The sequence below is a fragment of the Homo sapiens genome, chromosome 22 (genome assembly GCF_000001405.40).
Source record: "Homo sapiens chromosome 22, GRCh38.p14 Primary Assembly".
Taxonomy (NCBI): Eukaryota; Metazoa; Chordata; class Mammalia; order Primates; family Hominidae; genus Homo; species Homo sapiens.
The window spans coordinates 47104831-47128894 of NC_000022.11; the positions used below are offsets into that span (position 1 = coordinate 47104831).

General features: G+C 51.2%; 2 protein-coding genes across 13 annotated transcripts in view, besides 5 other annotated features; one reads left to right on the top strand and one right to left on the bottom strand.

Moving 5' to 3' along the window:
- The window catches only part of TBC1D22A (TBC1 domain family member 22A), a 413050-nt gene that overhangs the window by 342181 nt on the left and 46805 nt on the right, over positions 1-24064 (top strand). For 8 of the 12 annotated variants that reach the window (NR_104292.1, NM_001284304.2, XM_017028742.3 and 5 more), the window contains 1 exon segment: positions 6678-6773. Coding sequence is in view for 10 of the 12 variants with exons in the window: in NM_001284304.2 (NP_001271233.1) it covers positions 6678-6773 (96 nt within the window). In the remaining 2 variants the exon portion in view is untranslated. 12 annotated transcript variants of the gene reach the window in all.
- Positions 10161-10662: an enhancer, noted in NCBI's record as "H3K4me1 hESC enhancer chr22:47510887-47511388 (GRCh37/hg19 assembly coordinates)". NCBI's record gives its function as "activates a minimal SCP1, AML or CMV promoter by ChIP-STARR-seq in naive H9 embryonic stem cells {active_cell/tissue: H9 hESC(naive)}" and the evidence as "EXISTENCE:reporter gene assay evidence [ECO:0000049][PMID:30033119]".
- Positions 10663-11162: an enhancer, noted in NCBI's record as "H3K4me1 hESC enhancer chr22:47511389-47511888 (GRCh37/hg19 assembly coordinates)". NCBI's record gives its function as "activates a minimal SCP1, AML or CMV promoter by ChIP-STARR-seq in naive H9 embryonic stem cells {active_cell/tissue: H9 hESC(naive)}" and the evidence as "EXISTENCE:reporter gene assay evidence [ECO:0000049][PMID:30033119]".
- Positions 11291-11764, bottom strand: LOC124905139 (uncharacterized protein UNQ6126/PRO20091). The gene has a single exon (XM_047441698.1). It carries the CDS (start codon positions 11762-11764, stop codon positions 11291-11293), a length of 474 nt encoding a protein of 157 aa, XP_047297654.1.
- Positions 18776-19462: an enhancer, noted in NCBI's record as "H3K27ac-H3K4me1 hESC enhancer chr22:47519502-47520188 (GRCh37/hg19 assembly coordinates)". NCBI's record gives its function as "activates a minimal SCP1, AML or CMV promoter by ChIP-STARR-seq in primed H9 embryonic stem cells {active_cell/tissue: H9 hESC(primed)}" and the evidence as "EXISTENCE:reporter gene assay evidence [ECO:0000049][PMID:30033119]".
- Positions 20839-21526: an enhancer, noted in NCBI's record as "H3K4me1 hESC enhancer chr22:47521565-47522252 (GRCh37/hg19 assembly coordinates)". NCBI's record gives its function as "activates a minimal SCP1, AML or CMV promoter by ChIP-STARR-seq in primed H9 embryonic stem cells {active_cell/tissue: H9 hESC(primed)}" and the evidence as "EXISTENCE:reporter gene assay evidence [ECO:0000049][PMID:30033119]".
- Positions 21527-22212: an enhancer, noted in NCBI's record as "H3K4me1 hESC enhancer chr22:47522253-47522938 (GRCh37/hg19 assembly coordinates)". NCBI's record gives its function as "activates a minimal SCP1, AML or CMV promoter by ChIP-STARR-seq in naive and primed H9 embryonic stem cells {active_cell/tissue: H9 hESC(naive and primed)}" and the evidence as "EXISTENCE:reporter gene assay evidence [ECO:0000049][PMID:30033119]".

A 24064-nucleotide genomic window follows, 5' to 3' on the forward strand; every position in this document is an offset into this window, starting at 1 on the left:
AGATCTTTAGACAAACTCAACCAGTTGTCAACTAGAACATGTATAAATTCACCTATCGCCTGGGAACAACCCCCCGACCGTTGCTGCTGCCACCTTTCACTTGTCCCCCCTTTCTGGACCAAACCAGTGTATTTCTTAAATGTATTTGATTGATGTCTCATGACTCCCTAAAATGTACAAAATCAAGCTGCACCCTGACCCCCTTGGGCACATGCTCTCAGGACCTCCTGAGGGCTGTATCATCGGCCATGGTCACTCATATTTGGCTCAGAATAAATCTCTTTAAATATTTTACAGAGTTTGATTCTTTTCGTCAATAATATCATAAAAAAAAAACCTAGCTCATCAAACCTATACTACAAAGCCACAGTAGCAACATATTTAAGATTCTTGAAATGAGTGGATTTAAAAAAAAAATAATAGGGCAGAGCCTCCTCTTTCCGGTGGTGTGGTGAATGTGGTGTCCGAAAGACCCTCCTGTTTTTGGTATGAATACACCAAATAATGCTGGTGTGCTTTTAAGAAACATAACCACAAAGGTGAGACTATCAGAGACCAGAAATCTCGAGAAAATACAAATCTAGAGAGTTAGGGGAGCAACATCAAAGCTGGTCTTTACCCAGGGGTATCTGCCAGTTGATTTTAATGAGCCACTGGCAGGAGTCAAAACCTGGGGACTGTTTTGTTCAGGGACTGAACAGTTGTTTGTGTTTGTCTTTCTTAGCCTTGGCCAGGTTAAAGGAGAAAGAAAGAACCCTCCCCTTCCTCAGAATTTCCAACTACAATCCTACATTCACATGGATTGGGGGAGCCCCCGTTCATGTTACTTATTTGACCTAAAAAAATTGCAAGCTAAAAATTTGGTTTAATGTAGTCTGGGATAACAAGGCCCTCAGGCTCTAGAGAAGCAAATATAGGTTTCCCACCCCCCCACTCCCCAAAGAAAAGCCTCAAAGAATTCCAATAGATATACATTCTAAGGAGCATAATGACAGGAGAAGTCACTGAAGTACAAGGAAGCAAGCCACTGGGGGCAAGAATCAGCAGTGAAAACAGACTGCAGAAAGAGATCTACAGAGATTTTAGAATTATCTGCGACATGCTATAAAAATAAGCTTATACATTTTAAATAATACAAAGAAAGGTATTGAATGGAAGAAGGAGGAGTAACTATCAATTTACAAGGCAGAATTGAAGAAATAACCAAGGTTCAAATGTAATAGATAAGTGAAACAAATTGTGACAAAGTTGAAGAGATTATTAATGAACTAGAAGAGATATTTGAGGAAAGTACTTGTCCCAGAAAGACAAAGAGATGGAAGATATAAAAAGAGAGGCTAAAGGAAATGGAGGATAGAATGAAAAGACCCCAACTCTATATGATCTGAGTTGTGAGAAAATAAAGAGAATGGGTGCAAATGGATGTTTGATAGGAGATAATGGATGACCATTTCCAAAACTGATGAAAACTACTTATTCCCCAGATTCAGAAAGACCAATATCTCTAGCAGAATAAATATCACAAGGAAACCGCAAAACATCCAAGACAAAGAAGTTATTCACAAGCAGCCAGAGAGGAAAGTTAGATTGCTTATGAAGGAATGACAAATAGATTGATAGCATTCAATAGCGGAGGCTAGAAGATGATAGAGTATCATCTTTTAAAATAATAACCAACTTAGAACAATATATCCAGCAAACTATCTTTCAAGAATGAGAATAAAGACATTTTTAGACAAATGAACTCTGAGAGGGTTTACAACCAAAAGACCCTAAAACCCTCTCATTAAAGGAGCTTCTAAAGGTTGAATTTAAAGAAGGATAATAATTTCCAAAGAAAGGTCTAGGTGCAAGAAGAAATAATGAGGAAAAAAAAAGGGTAAAGTCATGAATAACTCTAAACAAACATATATGAAAGAACAAGAAGAAGATCTCCATTTATAACTTTCGGAGGCTGAGGTGGGTGGATCACAGGGTTAAGAGATCGAGACCATCCTGGCCAACATGTTGAAACCTCGTCTCTACAACCTGGGAGGAGGTTTCAGTGAGCCGAGATCATGCCCCTGCACTCCAGTCTGGCGACAGAGCGAGACTCCATCTCAAAAAACACAACAAAACAAAAAACAAAAGTCACAATGGAACTGAAATTCTGGAAACCATGAGTACATAGCTAGGGAAGATTAGGTCAGTGTGTGGTGCTGGTATGACTAGAATTAAAATATTCTTAATTTTTTGTACTGTTTGGGAGGAGGATAAAGATAACAATTCATTTTAGATCATTAAGTTAAATATACATGTTAAAATTTGTAGAGGGGCTATTAAAATAATAGAAACAATTCATTAACTTCCAGATTCATTGGGGTTAGGGCATTAGAATGTAGAGGGAAGTAGATTAGTCCACATGTAGGCCAGAAAGACAAATGCTAGAAAAAGTAGAACAGTTGGAAACCTCGAAATGAGAGCATGTGAATTAACCTGAATGTATCAGGAGTCACAGCCAGCAGGGACCAAGATCTTTGGTTAGAAAGCATGGCTGGAGTTTAAAAACCCAGTGCTGTGCTAGTTATGAGAGAAATATAAGGAAATAAAGAATAGAGGGGAACCCAACAACTACCAACAAGCAGAAATCGAGGTTTTTAGGACCCTATTTTCAATATCATCAAAAATATGAACCTGTTAGGGAAAATCTAAAAACAGATATAATAGACCTGTAGTGAGAAAACTATAAAACACTGGTGAAGAGAAAGAAGATCTGATTAAACGAAGAGCTATATCATGGTCATGAGTCAGAAGACTGATTAAGAGCTATGCTATGGTCATGAGTCAGAAATCCCAGCAAGCTTTTCTGTAAAAATTGACAAAACAGGTTCTAAAACTTACACAGAAATGCAGAAGATATGGAATAGCCAGAGCAGCCTTGAAAAAGAAGAAGACACAAGTGAGGACTAGCACTAGCTGAAGTTTAGTCTTTCAGCAAATTGCTGGAACAATTGGATATCCATGTGCATACAAATGAACTTCCATACTTTTTACCATATACAAAAATTAACTCAAAATGGATTATAGATCTAAAGTAAAACTTTATAAACCTTCTAGAAGAAAACCTTTATGCCCTTGAGTTAGGCAATGATTTTTTAGATAAGACACCAACAGCATGATCTGTAAAAGAACAAAGTACTAGGTTGACCCTCACCAAAATTTAAAACCCACGATCTTCAAAAGTCACTATTAAGAGGACGAAAAGAGGAGGCATGGGGAGAAAACATTTGCAAAGCATGTATTTGATAAAAGGTTTATATCAAAACTAGTGGCAGTTTTTTCAAAAGGTAAATATACTCCTACCATATGATCCAGCTGTTCTATTCCTAAGTATTTATCCAAGCAAAATGAAAGCCTATGTCCATTCAAAGATGAGTACACAAATGTTCATGGCATCTCTCTGCATAGTAGCCCCAAGCTAGAAACAATTCAGTCCATCAACAGATGAATGGATAAACAAACTGTGGTATATCCAAGCAGTGGGTGCTGCTCAGCATGTATAGAAATGATCTATTCGTCCGTGCAGTGTCATGGATGAATCTAAGGTAATCACCCTGTGTGGAAAAGCCAGACCAAAACCAAATGTGTATTATATGATTCCCTTTATTTGAAAATATTGGAAATGTAAGCTAATGTATAGTGACACAAGTAAGTCAGTGATATTCTGGGACTGGGAGGGCTCAAAGGGAGGATTTACAAATGGGCACAAAGAAACCTTTGGAGCCATAGATATGTCCACTACCTCGGTTGTGATGGTGTTTTCACAGCTATATGCGTATATCAAAACTTATCAAATTATAAACTTGAAATATGTAAACATGTTTTGTTTTGTTTTTTGTTTTTTGAGACGGAGTCTTGCTCTGTCACCCAAGCTGGAGTGCAGTGGCTCGATCTCGGCTCACTGCAAGCTCCGCCTCCCAGGTTCATGCCATTCTCCTGCCTCAGCCTGCCGAGTAGCTGGGACTACAGGCACCCGCCACCATGCCCAGCTAATTTTTTGTATTTTTAGTAGAGTCGGGGTTTCACCGTGTTAGCCAGGATGGTCTTGATCTCCTGACCTTGTGATCCGCCCGCTTCGGCCTTTCAAAGTGCTGGAATTACAGGCGTGAGCCACTGCACCCGGCCTGAAATATATAAAGTTTATCGTATGAGAGTTATACCTCAGGAGAGCTGTTTAAGATACATTACCGAACAAAAACTGATAGGTAGTTTTAGTCATATTAGACTCCTTCCTCCTGACTAGAGACTTCAGAGCAAAAGCCCTGCGTGAGGTTAGAGGTCATAAGTATTTGTACTGTTTAGTACACCAGGAAGAGAAAACAATTTTGAATTTGTATGCTCCTGATAACATAGCTTCCAAACACAGAAAACAAAGATTGGCAGAACCATAAGGAGAAAGACATACACTCACTGTCATAATGGGAGTTTTGAAGCATACCTGTCAGTTATTGATAGATTATAAGCAGACAAAAAAAACCAGTCAGGATTTATAGGAAACTCGAACAACGCTGTTGATGAACTTTATTTAGTGGATGTATGCAGGGCACTGTATCCAGGAACTCTTAGAATATGCACCCTCTTCATGTTCTGTGGTCTGGCCCCAGCTCGCTGGTCATTCCTGTGGGTCGTTCAGTCCTTGGTGTTTATTTCTGGCCCGAATCACTAGCCACTCTCTGGGCTTGTCCAGGTGCCTCCCTGACATCTCCACCAGGATCCCCAAGTGTCTTAAACTTGGCAGTTCCAAAGAATAACTCATGGCCTTCCCACCAAAACAGTCTCCTACAGCCTTTTCCATAAACCTTTCCCCATCTTAGGAACTGGCAACTTCGCCCTTCCAGTTGTTGAGGCCCATAGTGTCAGAGTGGCTCTTGGTTCCTTTCTCTCCTACCCCAGATCTGTCATACGCGTTGGTGTGTTTTTTCTGCACAACCTTCAAAATACATCTCGAATGTGTCTTCCCACAAGCTTGCCTGCTCCGTCTTGGCCCAAGTCACTAGCCCCTCTTGAATTTCTGATGACCGTGGTCCCCTAACCTGCCTCCTGGTTCTCCTGGTTCCACCTCTCCCCACCCTGCCATGTGCCATCCATTCTCAGAGTGACAGTCGGAGGGATGCTTTTGAAGCCTGCATTTTTCCCTGCTCAGAGCCCCGAGGATCTGTACCCCAGATGTTCCTGCCATTGCTTGCCTCTGCTCGCCTCGTTCTGCGGTAGCTGTGCTGGTCTCCTCGCTTTTGGAACATTCCAAGCAGCTTCTAACCACAGGGTCTCTGTGTTTCCTGCTGCTTTTACCTGGAATATTTCTCTGCCATGTGTCTAAATGCCTTTTCTGGCCAGGCACGGTGGCTCACACTTGTAATCCCAGCACTTCGGGAGGCTGAGGCGAGTGGATCACCGGAGGTCAGGAGTTCGAGACCAGCCTGGCCAACATGGTGAAACCCCGTCTCTACTAAAAATACAAAATTAGCCAGGTGTGGTGGCGCACGTCTGTAATCCCAGCTACTCGGGAGACTGAGACAGGAACATTGCTTGAAACCAGGAGGTGGAGGTTGCAGTGAGCCAAGATCACACTACTACCCTCCAGCCTGGGCAACAGAGCGAAATTCCATCTCAATAAAGAAAATAATAATAATAAACGCCTTTTTTCTCTTTGGATGTTTGCTCATTTGTCACCTTAGGCGATTGACCGTTGTACTGAAGTGGCATCCCTCTCTTCACACACAAACCCCCTTGCTGTTCCTCGTCCCAGTCTTTGCCTTGTTTTCTCCATAGCACATCACCATCTAATGCACTGTGCATTGGATTTGTTTACTTAATGAACCACTGACAGTAGTCCTATAGATGTTGCATGGGCAAGGCAGAGAAGGTAGCACCCCAAGAACTGGAGTTTGGGGAACCCTCAGTCTTTGCAGTTGGCCGTGCGTGCTTGAACTAACACCATAGCCCCAAGGTGTGCAAGCCCCGAGCCTCGGTGTGGGAGGGCCTCTGGGAGCTGACAGTGGTCCTGGGTTTCCGGGATGAGTAAGGGGTAGATATCTCAAGAAGGGGGAGCAGGGAAGCCTTGTTTGATGACAGTGAGGAGAGACATGGGTGGTGATTTGAGGGGCGTGAGCCGTGTCCTTCCGCGTCCGTGGCTTCCGAGTAGCATCATTTCCCTGTTCATTTCCCAGGGAGACCCGGACCGGGTTGTGGTCCCAGGCCCAGTGCCTGATCTCCGGCTTGACTGGGCTCAGCCTTGTTTCCTCATCTGTGGAGTGGGAGGAGGCCTCCCTCACGCGCCCTTTGTGAGGAGTAGACTCTGTGTCTGGCATGGCACCAGCACACGTTGAATTTGTCTCTTATCCTTTTTGGCTATTGTCTGCGCAAGAGAGAAGAATGAACAACCGCTTCTGAGGCTGTCTGAAGCTTGGTCTGCTGTTCACATGCTGTTTATCAGGCTGCTGGAACTTAAAGAGAAAATGGTGTTTGTTTTAATGGAATGAGGATTTTGAAATTAAGGCATTAAGTAAAAGTGAGTCAACACAAGCTTTGGTTTCCTCTGAACCCTGACTAGATAAACCCTGACTGTCGCAGATAACCTCGCAGTGATGTTAATGGGTCACGCGTTACAATTTCTCTCTTGGTTATTTTTTCTCTTTTAGTCTGAACCGGACGGCTTTTCTCATTTCCACTTGTACGTGTGCGCTGCTTTTCTCGTGAGATGGAGGAAGGAAATACTAGAAGAAAAAGATTTTCAAGTAAGTAAATGTCTTTTCAAAAGAACCCAAGTTTGATTTTCTACTAGGAGAGAGGTTTATTACATTTTAGTTCACAGGGTTATTTGTGGAAGAGTTTTGAGAAGCGCTGCCTGCATTTCGCCGCTGACCTCCTGCTGGTTGAAAGCTCGTCCAGCTGAGGAGATGAGCCTGGCAGTGGTCACGTGGTCACAGCAGTGGAAACGCTGCCCACGTTATGAGTTATTAGATGTGGCTGTGTGACAAGCTCCCTGCAGAACCTTCCCTGGGGCAGCGTGCCCCTCAGCAGCACGACCCCTGCAGTGTGCGGCTTGTGACCTCTGGTCCCTGGAACCCTCTTTACAGCACGTGGACTGTGATGCTTTAGGGACAGGGCTGGGCAAGAAATCACACAGCCTGGGGTGCCTTCCAGCCAGGCCACTGGAAGCTCTGTGACTGGGGGCACATTGTTCAGCCTCACTAAGCTAGTCCCTGGCGACTTAGCAGGAGAGCCCTCCTCGCATGCCACGCGTCAGAGGCACGCCCTGCTAGGCTCCGTGCTTGACCTGTGGGACTCCCTGTGGACTAGTGTCCAGCCCCTGACCCACCCCACGTGTTCCTCTGTGAGGCGTCCCGGGCACACTGTGGACTGTTGGCCCCTTCATGGGGTGATACCCACTGTTCCCCAAGGTGCGGGCTGGGAAGTCCTTCTGCCCAGTGTTCACCCAGCAGAGGGCTCTGGGTGCAGCAAGGAAGACCCCAGCAGTGGGAAGCAGACCAGGCTCTGCACCAGCTGGCTGGGGTCAGCCACACTTCACCGCTCTCCCTTCTCGAGGCTCTCGTCTCTCAGATAAAGGGACGGACCTAGGTCCCCAGGGCAGTGCTCTGCGCAGCTGGCAGCCTGTTGTTCCCCAGCTCTGTGCTTGGCAGAGGCTCCAAGCATCCCTATTCCTTCCGAGGGCCTTGGGAGGAGCCAGGGACCTCCTGCCGCCCCGCTTCATCTCGGCCCCAGGAGAGACCAGACAGGTGAGGGCCATACCGAGGCCAAGAGCTGCCAACAGATCCTGGCCCAGCAGATGGAACCCAGCCCGGGTGTTCGCAGGTGGATGGGACAAGACGCTCCTTCTGCTAACTTAGCTCCTGCCTTTTTGTCAGTGTGGGGCTCGGTTGTGCCCTGCGGGGAGCATTGAGGCGGTGATTGGCATCTCAATCTCAGACACACGCCTGCCTTGCCTCTCCCAGCCATGGTCTGTAAGTGAGTAGGGTGCACCTGGCCTGCCCCTCCGCCCGGCTGATGCAAGGCTGCTGGGGCTGGGGCCTCCTGGCCCATCTGGCCCACTCGTCACTTTGCACAGGGGAATGTGGAGGCGATAAGAGGGGCCATGACTTGCTGTGTCACCAAGTAAGATGGAATGAATGGGGCCTAGACTGCGGTCTCCTGGCCAGCCTCCTGCTGTCCTCCACAGTAGGCTCTCCATCTGTGCAGAGAGCAGTGCTGGCTGGGCAGGCAGCAGGCACCCACTGGCCTGGCCACTTACCTGTAGGGAGAAGGGCCCAGCCTCTCTGGTGCACAGCGGCCACTCCTGGTAGGACGGTGCCCAGAGTGCTTGGTTCCCACCGGCCAGCACACACAACTGTATGCTGCCTCCCGGAGAGCCTCCCAGGGGACTTGCTCTCCAAATGAAGGCGGCTGGCTGCCGAGAGTCAGTCACTGGGCTGGCCATGGAGCTTGGATGTTCCTGCCTCGGTGGTGTCTGTGACTGGCTGGCTGGGGAGCTCTGTTCCCTGGAGGCCCTGGGCAGACATTGCTGCCCTCCTGGGTCAGCCATGCCTGGTGGTGGGAGGTGGGGTGGGAGAGGACTCGGGGTGTGCCTGAAGCTGCAGGGCACTGTGCTCAGGCCCATGCTAACAACAGACCATGTCTCATCGTCTCCAGAAATCACCCTGGGCCCCACTCTGGGCAGACTCTAAGCCACACATATGCGAGGAATGGACCCTGAGCACATTCTGGTTGGGGAGAGAGAACAGTAAAGAAATGATTGACCTTCAGCAAAAGGCTGTGCCTCCATTGACGACTCCATTTCTTCTGTCTGCTCCCAAATAGGGACAGTGTCACAAGGTGGCTCGAGGCAGACCAGACACACACTGGCCGTGGGAGCTTGTGGGCGGGGTTTCTTCCTGTTGTGAATACGTGCAGAAGTGTCACTCCGGCCCTGGAGGCTGAAGCAGGCCATGAGCCCCTCAGGGTGAAGGACAGGAGATAGGGACAGCTGTGGATGCCAGGGTACCTGAGCTAGGTCTGGGGGAGGTGGGTCATGAGAGGGTGGTGTTGGGTGGGCAGTGGGCCTCCTACCACCCTGTCATGTGGTGGTCCCATCCAGGGGCCACTGGCAGGGGCAGACTTGGACCAAGAAACGGAATTGATGGCAGCCTTGACAGATGCAAGTGACAAGGTGCCCTCATTCCTCACCCTGCCGCAGCTCATTGGGCTTTTCTGTGAGGGATACATTGTGTTTGCTGTTGGGCCGGAGACATTGCTCTGCTGCTATTAGAGGGTGCAGCGTGGGCAGCTGATTAAAATGTTTGGCCAGCCTTCTCTGAGCCCGGCCTACTTAACTTGAGATGAAGGGAGGACAGGAGTCAGGCAAAGCCACACGGCCAGGGTGTGGGGTGTGGGGTGTGGGGTGTGGGGTGCAGGGTGTGGGGTGGAGTGCACACTCTGAGAGCCTGTGGGGCCCCTGTGACTTGAGTGGGGAACCGGGAGGAGGCGCTGGCAGAGGAGCCATGAGATTGATTTTCTTCCTTTAGAGGAAGAGGAAGTTGGTTCTTTGATGCCATAGGGGTTGGATGGAGAGAATGCTGTGAGTGAGGGGTTGGATGGAGAGAATGCTGTGAGTGCCACAATGTGTTGTGGGCACTGAACCCAATGGGAAAGGAGGTGAGAAACAGAAGTTACAAACCTGAGGAGTCCTGGTGAGCACGGGGAATGTGTGTGTGCAGTTGTGACATTTTAGGAAGACGCTTCCGCATCCATGGGAGGCCACCTGAGCGAGTAGGGCCCAGAACATGATTCCCCAACAGTGGAACGTTGGTGGAAAGCGGCTTTAAAAGCCCTCATTTGTTGCAGCCTTGTGATTTGTCCCTTGGGAAATGATGTGTGGCTTTAAGTCATTTTTCCACAGGAACAGAATCCTTTTCTGATTCCCAGAAGAAAGGCAGAGACCCTCCTGTTGTTAAACAGCAGAGCCAAGCAGTTCAGGGGCCAGGGAGGGGGCGATGGGTCACGCTGCCCCTTAATTCCCGAAAACTTGGGCAGGCGGGGAAGGTGAGGGCGCTGCCTGTGTCCTAGGTCCCCTTGGCCTTTGAGCCTCATGCGGGCATGGTTTGCTTCCTTGCCATCTGTGAGCCACCTCCAGGGCCTGCTGGGCAGGGCTCGGGGAGCAGGGAGTGGTGGGGCGGGGCGGGGCGGGGTGAGGTGAGGTGGGGCGGAGAGGGGCACAGCTGGGATTGGTGCTGCACTCTGGGCCTCCTGGCCCCTGGATGGCGGCACCTTCTGGAGTGAACGTTGGCCCTGTCCTGAGCGCTGGGCCCCAGGAGGTGTGTGCTTCTCTGGAGGATTGCCACTTTGCCACCTCCCCTGCCAGAGCTTGCTGGTCCTCAGGAAGGGTGGTTGCCCTCAGGCACATGCCCCATGCCATCTGCATTGCTAATCCGCAGGCTATATGTATGTGGCTCCACAGCCCTGCCCTGGGCGTTTCCTAATGCCCCCCACCACCCCACCCCCGGCTCCACATGTTGATGTCCAGTGGGGCCTCTCCGCTGAGCCCTGCCCCGCCCCTTTAGCCACTGAGATTCAAGCCTCAGCCCTCACAGCATGGACTGTGCCTTCCATCTGCCACTCTCCCACCAGACTTTCGTAGGGTCTTGGGGGTGAAAGGAGCATGCTTGTGTGGAAAGTTGTGTGTCCCGCGGTGCCCGCTTGGTGCCCTCTACCCCGTCCTTGCCCTCTGTGGGTCATTTCACAGTAAGAGGACACTGGGGCCCAGCAGGGGTGAGGCGAGCAGGGACCCTGCTTTCCCTTGGGATCCGCTGTCCCCTCTGTTAGGAACCTGCCACCCGCCCCTGCTGATTGGGCCTGCAGACCCTCCTCAGGCACACGTGGCACGGTGAGTGCTAGAAAGGCCAGCTCCAGCATGTCATGACCCACGCGGAAACCTTCTGTGGCCCCCACTGCTGGGACACGAGCGCAAAACCAGAACTGAGCCATGTCCTGTGCCCATTCTGACCGGCTGGGGGTGTAGTTTAAGTGCCTGATGTCGGCATTACTGGGATCTTTTCCTGATTAATAAGCACGGCATTGTAAAATTAGAAAATAAGCTATCCCGGAACATCTTCATTTATCCATTTTACCCCCCAAGTCTAAACCTCTCAGTTTGGCTTCCCAGGGGACTGGGGGTCCAACTGCTAAACGCCCTGCAGGCCGCCCTCTCCCCGCCGGCCCCCATCCTCGCCAGCTTCCCCTCCTTGGAGCCCCACTGCCCTCACCCTGGGCTTGGCTGAGAGGGGGCCGCCCACGCGGGATCGATTGTGCTCTGCCAGCTTCCAGGAGTGCCCACCAGAAGTGGGAATGCCTTGTGAGGCTGGAAGCTCCACCACCTGCCAGGAGCTGGGACCGTTGTTTTTAATTTTAAAGTAAGCAAGCTGCTTAGACACAGTGGGGACGGCAGTTGGCAGAGTTGTTTTTCTAAGTAGAAAAAGCAGTTAATTTTATGGTGAACAGAGTGTGGCACCTCCATGAAGTCAGGAACCTCCTCTGAGGAGGCCTCGGCAGCTGAGAGGTCTGTAAATGTCTGATCAGTGAGTGCGCCACTGCCTGATGTTGATGCGTGGACAGCCTCGTTGGGAGAAGCAGCTTCCTCCAGCATGGTGGCTGCCTGCCTTGGGAGGCTGGTGCAGGCGGCGAGGAGGCACCAGAGCGGCATCGTGGAAGGCTGGGGCCCTTGCTCTGGAAGCATGCTCCGGGCAGTCTGTGGCCGCCTGGCCCTGGGCCCTGCATCTCTGTGGGAGCCCCAGCTGCTGGATGGGCTGCATGGGAAGGACCAGCAGGTGCCAGCCCGAGCTGCCCAGCCTGGGAGCCTTCACCTTTGTCCCCTTTGGCTCTGGGACTGAGTTGTGTGAATCTGCCAGCTGCTCAGTGGGGAAGCCAAACACACACAGGTGTGTGCAGTGCCTAGGTTGAGGGGCTCAGTCTGGCTTTGTGACCGTGGGCTTCACAGCCTCAGCTGGTCTGTTCATTCCTTCATTGAATGCCCCTGGAACCCTCGCCCTGAGCCAGGCCCTGTGCTGTCAGGTTCTGCTCTCAAGGGGCAGGGCGAGTCGGGAGGGGCAGGTGCATGAAGGGACTGCTCTGCGGGGGTCGGCAGGTGGGCAGGGACCAGGGAATAGAAGTGATAGATGGGGGAGAGGGGAGCCAGTTGGGGAGCGAGGCAAAGAGAGGATGGGGTGGCCTTCCCGTAACAGTGGATTTGTAACAGCCTGCTCTGCAATGTGAAGTGATTTGGTGAACTTGGCGCCGCGGGTGGATTGGCAGCTAGAATATAAGCAGCCATGAGCAATATGAAAAGACGAGCAGGGACGGGGCAGGATGGCGCATGGAGGAAGCAGGAAAAATTGTGTCCTCGGATTTCAAGAAGAAAACACTGGGTAGAGCAGGGAGTCACTCCACACCGTGGCATCGAGCAGGGAGAGTCACCCCACACCGTGGCATCGAGCAGGGAGAGTCACCCCACACCGTGGCATCGAGCAGGGAGAGTCACCCCACACCGTGGCATCGAGCAGGGAGAGTCACCCCACACCGTGGCATCGAGCAGGGAGAGTCACCCCACACCGTGGCATCGAGCAGGGAGAGTCACCCCACACCGTGGCATCGAGCAGGGAGAGTCACCCCACACCGTGGCATCGAGCAGGGAGAGTCACCCCACACCGTGGCATCGAGCAGGGAGAGTCACCCCACACCTTGGCCTTCTCCCAACAAGGGTCTGGCAGCGGCCGCAGGAGCGAGGAAAGCAGGACGCTCCCGGGAGCACAGGAGCCCAGCGCCAGCTTCGTCGGAAACCTCCTTGTAGAGGCTGTGATCTGTGCACTTTCCTGTCTTTGTATTAAACTTGAATTTAAAACTGTATAAAACATACAAAGATATTCAGTGAAGCAACCATAGGAGGAAAGTTTAAGCATATTTAGTTGGATTAAAAATAAGGCGGGGGCTGAGCACGATGGCTCTTGCCTGTAATCCCAGCACTTTGGGAGGCAGAGGCGGGCGGATCACCTGAGGTTAGGAGTTCGAGACCAGCCTGACCAACATAGTGAAACCTTGTCTCTACCAAAAATACAAAAATTAGCTGGGCATGCTGGTGGGCGCCTATAATCCCAGCTACTGGGGAAGCTGAGGTAAGAGAATCACTTGAACCTGGGAGGCTGAGGTTGCAGTGAGCCGAGATGACACCACTGCACTCCAGCCGGGGCGACAGAGTGAGACTCCGTCTCAAAAAAAATACATAAAAAATAAGGTGGATTGTGAATCTGAATGGCATAAAAAAGGAGTGGTTTGGGAGTTCTGGGTGGAATTTGTACCAACAAAGAATGCATCTTCTTTCTAAGTATTTATGGAATACTTACAAAAAGTAATCACCCAACCTAGGCCATAAACATTTCCAAAATAAAAAAACAGCAATGACATAAACTTTGTTCACTGAGCATAATACTTTAAAATTAGATCATAATAAAGTTAAAATGAAAAACCAAGCATTTGGATGTTAAAGAACCCCCTTCAAAATAATGTGGGTCACAGTGGAAATGACCCTGTAATTACAGAAGGATGTTCAAAAGCACAAGGAATGTGCCAGTGCTGGGCTTGCAAACAGATTCAAAGATGCAATGCTTTTATTAATTAAAAATATTAAAACAAGTAAACTAAGCCTTTAACCAAGAAGTTAAAAATAGAAAAATAAAGACAACTTATGATAAAGACAATAAAAGAATGAATGAGTAAAAGCAAATGAATAGATTAGAAGACAGGGTTTTTATGTAGAATTCCTAAGTACATCTTAGAGGGGCAGTTGGAAATGTTAGTGAAATAGGCAGACCTCCAGCAAGGAGGACCGAGATAGATGGCTGAAAACATAGTCCTCCTCTGTGTTAGGAAAGAGGAATTTACACACACACACACACACACACATACATTTAAAAAATGCTAAACTTGCCTCAAGATAAGCTTTAAAAAAAGCCCAACCTGGCCAGGTGCGGTGGCTCACGCCTGTAATCCCAGCACTTTGGAAGGCCGAGGCGCGTGATCATGAGGTCAGGAGACTGAGACCATCCTGGCCAACGTGGTGGAACCCCATCTCTACTAAAAATACAAAAATTAGCCAGGTGTGGTGGCGCATGCCTGTAATCCCAGCTACTTGGGAGGCTGAGGCAGGAGAATCGTTTGAACCAGGGAGGCAGAGGTTGCAGTGAGCCGAGACCACACCACTGCAGTCCAGCCTTGCGACAGCAAGACTCCATCTCAAAATAAAATAAAATAAAACTTGAATAGACTTATAATTTGGGAGTAAATCCAAACATTGCCAAAAGTCTTGGTTTTAAATATGATTCTAAGGCCAGAAAATGTCTTCCTAGTAAATTTGTTCAGTTTCAAAAATCCTTATGCTGTGTGACCTGCCCCGCTGGAAAGAAGCAGCAGGCTTGGCACTCCGTCTCACAGAGCTGGCCACCCGGACACATGGCTCCCAGCACCCTGTCTCAGCTGAATCATCAGTGACTTCTGTGCAGGATCCCACATCTGCCAGTTTCTCTCTCCACATATATGGAGTGTCTTAGTCCATTCCTGCTGTTATAACAAACTACCTTAGACTGGGTAATTTTTTTTTTTTTTTTGAGACGAAGTCTCACACTGTCACCCGGGCTGGTGTACAGTGGGGCGATCTCGGCTCGCTGCAGCCTCCACCTCCTGGGTTCAAGTGATTCTCCTGCCTCAGCCTCCTGAGTAGCTGGGACTACAGGCACGTGGCAGCACGCCCGGCTAATTTTTGTATTTTTAGTAGAGACAGGGTTTCACTATGTTGGCCAGGCTGGTCTCGAACTCCTGACCTCGTAATCCGCCCGCCTCAGCCTCCCAAAATGCTGGGATTACAGGCATGAGCCATCGTGCCAGGCCTAGACTGGGTAATTTATAAACAATGGAAATGTATTTCTCACTGTTCTGGAGACTGGAAGTTCAAGATCAAGGCGTCGGCCTCTGGTGTCTGTCCAGGGCGCCTCGTTACTGCATCCTTATGTGGTGGAAGGTAGGAGGGCAAGAGGGCTGGGCGCTCCCATCAGCCTCCTTCACGGCACCCATCCCATTCATGAGGCCTGCCTTCATCAATATTATAAAATAAAAAATATCCCATAAAAATACCACTGGAATGTAGCCATGCTCCTGGATGCCAGCCTAGAGTTAGCCTCAGAGATCAGGCCAGCACACCTGTAACTCTGTCCGGCTTGCACTATTAATAAAAATATCCTATCAATAAACCAGAGGCCCTCAATCCCATGATACCTTAAGAGATTCAGTAGCTTTTCCTGAGTTTAATGAAAAGAAAAAAACTTCTGCCCTTAAGTAGAACTAAAATTAATACTTTATTAACATGCTAAGAACATTTTAAATCAACAACCACCAGTACCTAGGGAAATGCTAGAGACAGCCCCACTGAGATCAGGACGATTTCTTCTGTTTTTGTAACATGATGAACAAATGTTCAGCGAAGGCTCCTTGTCCTCTCCCCATACAGTCTGCATGCACACACACACGCACACACAACATGGATATTAACAAAATGCTTTTTAAGTTCATGGGCTCTTGAGAAGAGTAAGCCAGCCCTAGAACTAGTGTTTGCCCTGAAGGTGTCTGCTGCTTCCTGCTCTGGGACCAGGTCCCCAGTGTAAGCAGCCTGGCAGAGGGCAGGGTAGAAGGCCTGGGGCTGGAGCAGGTGGATGTGAGTCAGAGACCCTTTGCCTACGTCAGGACCCCTGAACCCAAGCAAGTGAACCAGGACAGACAGACAAAATGGCCCTTGTAGGTTCATGCTTGCCTGAGGCTTAGCTCTGAAGGGAAGAGGAATAAAAGCAGGTCTCCTCTGAAAATTCCTGACCCCAGCTCACCCTTTCACTCATTTAGGTCTAGAAGTTACTTTACTTTTATGTCTGAAAAACCCTATGCTAACAAGTTAACTTAATATGGCCAGAGAGCCCCAGGTGCCTAGCCCAAGAAAATGCCAGTTCACTCTAGAGTGGCACGTTTTAAGCACAACATAGAAGTTGGAAATATCCGTCTACCAGAAACATCATAAACAAAATTCAAAGGCAGTTGACAAAGTTCTTCATTCACAACGTAGCTTATATCCTTAATATGCAGAGAACTCACACAAATAACTAATAAAAAGAAAATGTCCTCATAGAAAATGGATGAGGACAATCGGAACAGTCAGAAACCCACATGAGAATTTATGTAGCTATCCAGAAAATGTAAGTGTTTCTTCCAATCATTAGTAAAGAATCGAAAATGGAAGCAAATGCTCTCTCAAATAAGCACCGCTTTTAGCGAGGGGCCTCCTGGAAGTGGATGAAGTTGGCGTAAAGCAGGCATGCTGTTTCATTCTGATGAGGGGTGTGATACACAGCGTTTCTGCAGAGCTATTAATAATTTATATCAAGAGCCTTTCCTCGATCCAGTAATTCTCCTTGTTTATAATTATGGAAAAACAAATTGGCAGCAGCCTGCATATCCAGCTCTCGGGGTACAGTTACCTAAGTTATGGTACATGGCTGGTTATAATGTTTCATAACTACCAAAAATTACATCTTCAAGTAATATTTACTGAAACGAGCAAATGTTTTCATTGCGTTTCTATGTGGAGGAAAAGCATGACCTGAAATTGTATATATCGACATATGTAATACAGATAAAAATGATCCCAGATTTGCTTCTATTCCACGCGTGGACAGAAAGACCGAACAGAAACAAACCACGGTGCTAGCCTGACTTAGTTTTCATTAGTAGAGTTATGGATATTTTATTTTCTTGTTTGAAAAAAAATTTTTTTTTTTTTGTATTTTGCATGTTCTTTTCAATATGTGTAAACATGGTTTTCTCACTAGGGTTAATTCCCACGTTAAGGATGGTTGTGGGGATTCGGCTGCTTTGTGAGGTTCGTGGCTTGGAGCTGGAGCTCAGAATGCTGGGCTCTGGGTTCTCTGCCCTTCTTCTAGGATGTCGCACTGCGCCCGCCCCTCGGGTGTCCTGCCGTGCCTGCCCCTCAGGTGTCCCCACCGCATCCAGCCTTGAGGTGTCCTGCCATGTCCATCCCTCAGATGTCCCCTCAGCTCGCTGACATGCACATGTGCAAACACATCACTCAACACAGAGCACACAGGCCCATGGCCCTCAAGGCAAGAGGCGTGCCCTGCTCGTCTGGTGGAGACTTAGTTAGCAGATGCTTCCCTGGTAACACATGAGGGGCACTGGGGATGAGGAGCTGGGGATGAGAGTGTGAGAGGGTCAGAGGGGCTGTGGGAAGAGAGAGGTGGGTGGACTCTGCAGGTCACCCCAGCTCCTAGGCTGCACAAAGTGCCATTGAGGCTGGCTGTGCATTCCCTTTGGCTGAGCCACCATGACGAGGTTTCCCGAACTGCCCTGTACTGCCTGTAGATGACATAAGGGCCACATTTCATTCATGGGCCTGGGCTTCTTTCCAGGGTCCTCAGTGTCCCATCACAGAGGAGGGGGTGAGTGTGGTCATTTCTGAGTAACCTGTGAGGATCTGTGTGCACAGTGGACCAAATTCCAGTCCGTGACCTTTGAGCCCCTCCAAGCTGGCCACCTGGTCCCCTGGGCCCAGCCCCTACTTGGAGGTGGTCTCAGCCCATGTATGGCCACCTGATGAGTCTGGAAGTCACCCACTGCCCCTTAGGAGGCCGCCCTAAATGCTACTAGCCTCAGACTTCAGGGATCTTTGATAAGGAGATAAGCAATAAAGACATCACAGGTTCTCTTGGGCATCTGTGATTTACAGAGTAGGAAAGACAACAGCAGCAAAAGCCCTGTGCTCTGCAGAGACCCAGGCAGGCTTCACTGCGCAGAAGCAGCGGCGAGGCATCCCTCCTCACCCGTCCCCTGGCCTCGGAAGCTGGTGCCAGGGTGTGCCCAGCCTCTCTGGCTGTAGACCCCTGGAGTCCCTTTCATTTGCTTCATGAGAGGCCTCAAAGCAAATACTCCTTAGCTCGAGCCTTGGCCTATTTGGACTTTGGGGTCTCAGGGTAATTAAAGGTTGCTTTAAAGATCAATGGCAGCTTTAGAATTATACCTGGAAGGAGGCGGAGAGAAGATGGGGTTTGCACATGGAGATTTATCATTTCTAGTTTTTTCTTACCTGAAAGAACCACATTATTAATGACGATGAGGTCTCAGCCCCTCCAGGAGGCTGAGGGGTGTTCCCGTGAGGTTCCGTCTGCCAAGACTTTGGGGCAGGTGGGTGGAATCGCTTTGCTTTACTCCTGGCCACCCAGCCCTTCCCTTTGGCCTGAAAACAGAGAGCACCAGCTGCTTCCCGGGTGACGCTTCCTCCATTCTCTCCAGGAGGGTGTAGACTCCTGCTGGAGGCCCCTCACCTGTGAAGCCCCCTTGCTGTGCTTACTGGGGGTTTCAGGCCGTGGTTTTGCACCCAGCCGAGCACCTGGCGCGTGGTCGGAATGGAAGGGCTGTTTCCCGGCTGGCAGGATGTTTGTGCACCCAGTCCTGATAGACATGCTTTTCTGCATGCTTTCATTTGGAGTTCCAGCATCCTTTTGGGCCAGTCCATTGCTGTCTTGAGTCACTAGTGAACTCACACCCAGGACCCATTTAGTGAGTCCGTCAGGCCTCAACCTGCCCATTGGCTCACAGAATGGCCCGTGGCAGTGGGCCATGTCTCTGTCAAATGGGACTGATCTTGCAATGCTGCATTAGCCTTCGACAGGCTAATGGCTTCATGCAGGTTTCTCTTTCATCCTGTGTTCACTGGAAGCAGCAAATGTCATGAAATGCCAAAGTAGAGATCGTTGTCTCCGTCTTTATTGTTTCAAGACATTTTAAAGACAAAATTGGGTCAATTGAAAAGTAATCTCTGAAGTGAATTGTGCCTTTGTGTGCGGGTTGCTGCATGTGTGAAAGTGTGGGGTTTGCAGGGTCATGCGTGCTGTGAGATCAGGTTTGTGTTGCTGTGTGGGGTTTGTGTTGCTGTGTGGGGTTTGTGTGGCCATGTGGTATTAGCTCTTTGGACCATTCTTGAGCAGAAGCTCTTGGGGGCCCACATGCCTGCCTCCCATGTTCTGATGCAACACCGTGAAACAGGAAAGAGGACACCATTGACAACGGCTGGGCACATGGCAGGTCCATGGTGGGTGCGCTTACTGCCGGATTAGGCCTCCCCGAAGAGGGGTCCTTGTGTGGGAGCGGCAGAGAGAGAAGGGGACTCTTGGGTCAGCGGGGGAGGGCACGCCTGAGCTGAGCATTTGAATCCCTGCTGCTGCGGTGGGGGTGGGCGCTGCCCTTGTGTTTTAGCAAGAACTGCAGGGTAAATGCAGGAAGGTTGGGGATGGGGTGGTGATGTGCAGGGTTCAGAGGGAAGGGCGCCGTGGGAGCTGGGACCTGGGCTCAGCTGTGAGGAGGGAGCAGAGCTTTCCTTGTGGGAGAGCTGGGTAAGAGGACAGCAAACCCCTGAGTGAAGCAGGGCTGAGAGCCGCCTGGAGGACAGGCTGCCCACGCCAGGCCCTCGAGCCAGCCTAGGGGCGCATGTCCTGGGACGCATTGGGACCTTGCCTCTTCTTGACCTGGGCCTGGCATGGGCATGCAGGTGGAAGCTCTATGGGGAGGGGACCTGCCTGTGCCTCTGTGCACGTCATTTTCGGAGCTAACACATGCCTGGTGTGGAGTTGGCAAATCAGCTGGGCACGGGGTGCTGCCCTCTCAGCCACAGGTGGCACCGAGGGGCATGGAGGAGGCAAGCTGGTCCCAGAGGCAGGGCTTGGGGAGTGGGCCGCAGGGCGAGGGGGACAGACGGGGGGCTTCTATCCTGGAGGAGCGTTGGGCCTTCAGGAGCAGTGAGGGGCCCGCGGGGGAAGCAGGTGATGAGTTTGGGCTCCACCGAGGTCCGCCAGTCTGAGCACAGCTGGTGTGAGGACACTGAGGCAGCAGTGCCGCAGGGCCACTGGGAGGACAGGCGGGCAGAGGCCTGGAGGGGACAGAGGACAAAGATGGTGCCTGCAGAGATTGGGCCAGGCGGGAGTGGAGACATAGAGGCTGAAGGAGCGTGGGTGGGACAAGCCCTGTAAAGGAGGGAGGGGCAGGGGCTTGCAGAGGGTGGCGGGGAGGCAGCCTTCATGCTGAGGGTGAGCACAGGGACCAGGTGTGGCCAGCACAGTGACCACACTCCTGCCCCAGGCCCATGGGGCAGCGCCCTCCAGAGACCCAGGCAAGGGGCGACATCTCTGCCCCATTGAGTCCCCGAGTCCCCAGGCTCCGGCAAGATCTGCCGCCAGCATGGCCAAATGCACCCCCCTGGGTTCCTCCTCACACTTCAGGGAGGGCGACCGTCCCCGGAGAGCCCATGGGATTCCCAGTGTCTTCCAGAACACATTCTTTTGTTCCCCGGGGCGGGGCTTTCTCAGAAGCCGGCACAGCTAAGAGGCGTGCCCTGGAGACCTGGGGGAGCAGGGAGGCCTGACACACCCAGAGCATCTTCTGTTCCTAGTCCTCACACGGTGACACCAGCAGGTAACTTCTTTATACTTCGAAAAGCTCCCTATTAAATTATACCCCTCATTATGATAATGCAGTAGAATTGGAAGGTTCAAATCATTTCTGGGGAAAGTGGGGTTTGGGCTGCAGAGTTTAATAGCTTTCTTCCTGGAGGAAATGATGAAAGGTTGGGAAGATGAAGTGTGAGTTAAGATGAAGGAACAGGATTGTTGGGAGAGACTCTGGGGTGACTTGCAGGGATCTTTAAGTCTAAAACAAGTAATGAGATCTTTCTTTCTGTGGCTCAACTAAGGCAAGAGAAATTTGGGCCACTCTGCAAGAACTTCCCAGCATCTCTTTGATGTCCCTTGCCAAGGGCCCCCTACCGGCTGCTGTGGAGAGGGACCCGCATGCGGCAGGCCAACCCCAGCCTGAGCCCAGCTGGGGCTCCTGGAGCAGCCAACATCGGGTGTCCCAGGATGGTCAAGTACAGGTGACTCTCCTGGTGTCCAGATAGTCAGTTGCCAGAGGGCAGTGCCCACTCAGAGCACGTGGGAACACAAAGGAAGGTGATGATGTTTCCTTTTTTTGTTTTTTGTTTTTTTTTGAGACAGAGTCTCGCTCTGTCGGCCAGGTTGGAGTGCAGTGGCACGATCTTGGCTCACTGCAGCCTCCGCCTCCCAGGTTCAAGTGAGTCTTCCGTCTCAGCCTCCCGAGTAGCTGGGACTACAGGCACACGCTACCACGCCCGTCTAATTTTTGAATTTTTAGTAGAGACGGGGTTTCACCATGTTGGCCAGGCTAGTCTTGAACTCCTGACCTCAGGTAATCCGCCTGCCTTGGCCTCCCAAAGTGCTGGGATTACAGGCATGAGCCACCGTGCCCGGCCAGATGAAGATGTTTTTTAAGAAAGAGGGAGCCTTTTCAGGCCACCAGAAGACAGGGACGCCATGATCCCCTTCCCCTGTGGTTCCTGAGCCCTTTCCTGTAAACAGCATTGGAGGTGGCCCACGCTTCCCTCTTGTAACTGGGTGGAGGCCAGCATGCGGCCAGCAGTACGTAGGCCCCGCCGGGGCCCACAGGATCCTGTCTCTGCAGCCTGGTGGGTGGGCTGCTCTCCCCATCCACATGTCATCTGCTCCCTGAGCGCATCTCACTCTAGCAGCTCCAGCACTACACCGCCAGTGAGCTCAGGCCTTCCAATGAGGGCGGAGGGAGTGACCCCTGGCGCTGTCTTCTCTGGAAACAGGAGTGAGCATTAGGAAGCGGTAGGCTGGAGGCCTCAAGGACTGGCAGGGTGTCACCTGCTGGGATGGGAAGCCCAGGGACCCTGTGGTTCCAGGAAGCCATGTCAAGGGCAGAGGGTGGCCCTTTTGCCCTGCCTCTACTGGGGGCACCCAGGGAAATCCCTCCACTGACCCAGAAGGGTGGGCGGGACTGTGAGTGGGAGGAGTTCTGGAACATCTCTGAACTTCTCGTCCAGAAAGGGGAGATGGCAGCGTCTGGCTCACTGTACTTCTAGGGCTGCTGGAGGGTCAGGTGAGATGATGGACGGAGGAGAGGCTCAGAGCTACCGATTTTTCACACGCATAGGCACGGGTGCACACAATACACGCAATATCCACATACACACGTGTGCGTGCACACCCACCCACCCTCGGGGTCTCAGGAAACCAGGCAGGGGAAAAATTAATTCTGGTCTTTTTTGATCCCTGGAAAACACTCTTTCTCTCTTTGCAAATGGAAAATTCTTGGTTAGTGATAAAGAAAACTACTCCTTGCCCCATGTGGAATTGGCATGGATTTTTTTGTCTTTATCTTTTTTTTTCTTTTTCTCTTTTTTTTTTTTTTTTGAGACAGAGTCTTGCTCTGTCACCCAGGCTGAAGTGCAGTGACGCGATCTTGGCTCACTGCAACCTCCGCCTCCCGGGTTCAAGCTATTCTCCTGCCTCAGCCCCACGAGTAGCTGGGATTACAGGTGTGTGCTACCACGCCCAGCTGATTTTTTTTTTTTTTTTTTGTATTTTTAGTAGAGACGGCCAGGCTGGTCTCGAACCCCTGACCTCAGGTGATCCACCCACCCCGGCTTCCCCAAGTGCCGGGATGACAGGTGTGAGCCACCACCACGCCCAGCCTGGATTTCTTTTGACGTGGGCCTCCTAGGCTTTCATTATTGCAGCGAGAGTCTTCATTTGAGGGGCTCTTGCCTGCACCTGTGGCCAGCTTGCTCTTCCACTGCCGTCGGGGAAGGCGGCCCCGTTCCTGTGTGGAGAGAGAACATCCGCCTCGTCATTGTTCACTGAGAGAATGTGAGTGGCAGGCACTGAGCACTTTTCCCAGGTAGCAGGAGGAGCTGGGGCCACAGGGAGTGGGCTTCCACGCATCAGGGCTCACAGATGTGCTGCTCTTGGCGCCTGCTTTTGTGGCAAGTGCCTTATGTTGGTTCTCTTCAGGGCAAGTGGTCTTCGCCTTCTCACCTGAGCCATCCTGGCCCAGCCTTGAGGAGCCCCCTGAGGTGAGGGTTTCCGGCCTCTCCCACCCACCCATCCTCTCCTCCACCCCACCCGTCCTTCCCTCCACCCCACCCATCCCCCCATCCTCCCTCCACCCCACCCATCCCCCCATCCTCCCTCCACCCCACCCATCCTCTCCTCCGCCCAACCCATCCCCCCTCCCCTCACCCATCCCTCATCCTCCCTCCACCCCACACATCCCCCATCCTCCCTCCACCCCACCCATCCCCCATCCTCCCTCCACCCCACCCATCCCCCATCCTCCCTCCACCCCACCCATCCCCCATCCTCCCTCCGCCCCACCCATCCCCCCCCAACCATCCCCTCCGCCCCACCCATCCCCCCCGCCCCACCCATCCCCCCTCCACCCAACCCATCACCCCCCTCCACCCCACCCATCACCCCCCTCCACCCACCCATCTGCTCCACATTTTCCCCAGCTCCTCACCTATTTCAGCAGGGAGCCCCATGGTGGAGAATCAGGAGTGGCTAGGGGAGGGAGGAGGAGCTGGTCCTTCTGTGTTCCGTCCCTGGCTTCCGGTGCCCCCAGCAGGCTCCCTGAGTGGCATCTTCCAGGGAGAGGTCTGGGCAGCTTGCTGATCCCAGGTGTGCTGTGATCATTTTTCCTTTAAGAACTTAACTCATGAAGGCACTTTGCAAAGAAGAGAAATGGAGTCCTGCACGAGGCTGCAGAAAATCGATTTTCGTTCCATGACTCTGCTCACAGCTATCCGTGTGTTTATTAAATCATCCCTCTCTGTGATGGATACCACTTTCTCTGGGGAAAGAGCAGCTGGAACCCAAGCCCGGTGGCCCTGCTTGACCCAGTGGCCATGACCGTGGCTAAGCCACGGACAGTCACGTGGACTCCGGGCAAGCACCTGGCGACGGTGTAACTGGCTGTGTACTGCGTCCGAGGCAGATGGGCCCCAGAGTCCCATCAAGATCCCCGGCTCTTCATGAAGTCACACTTGGCAATATGCATGAGG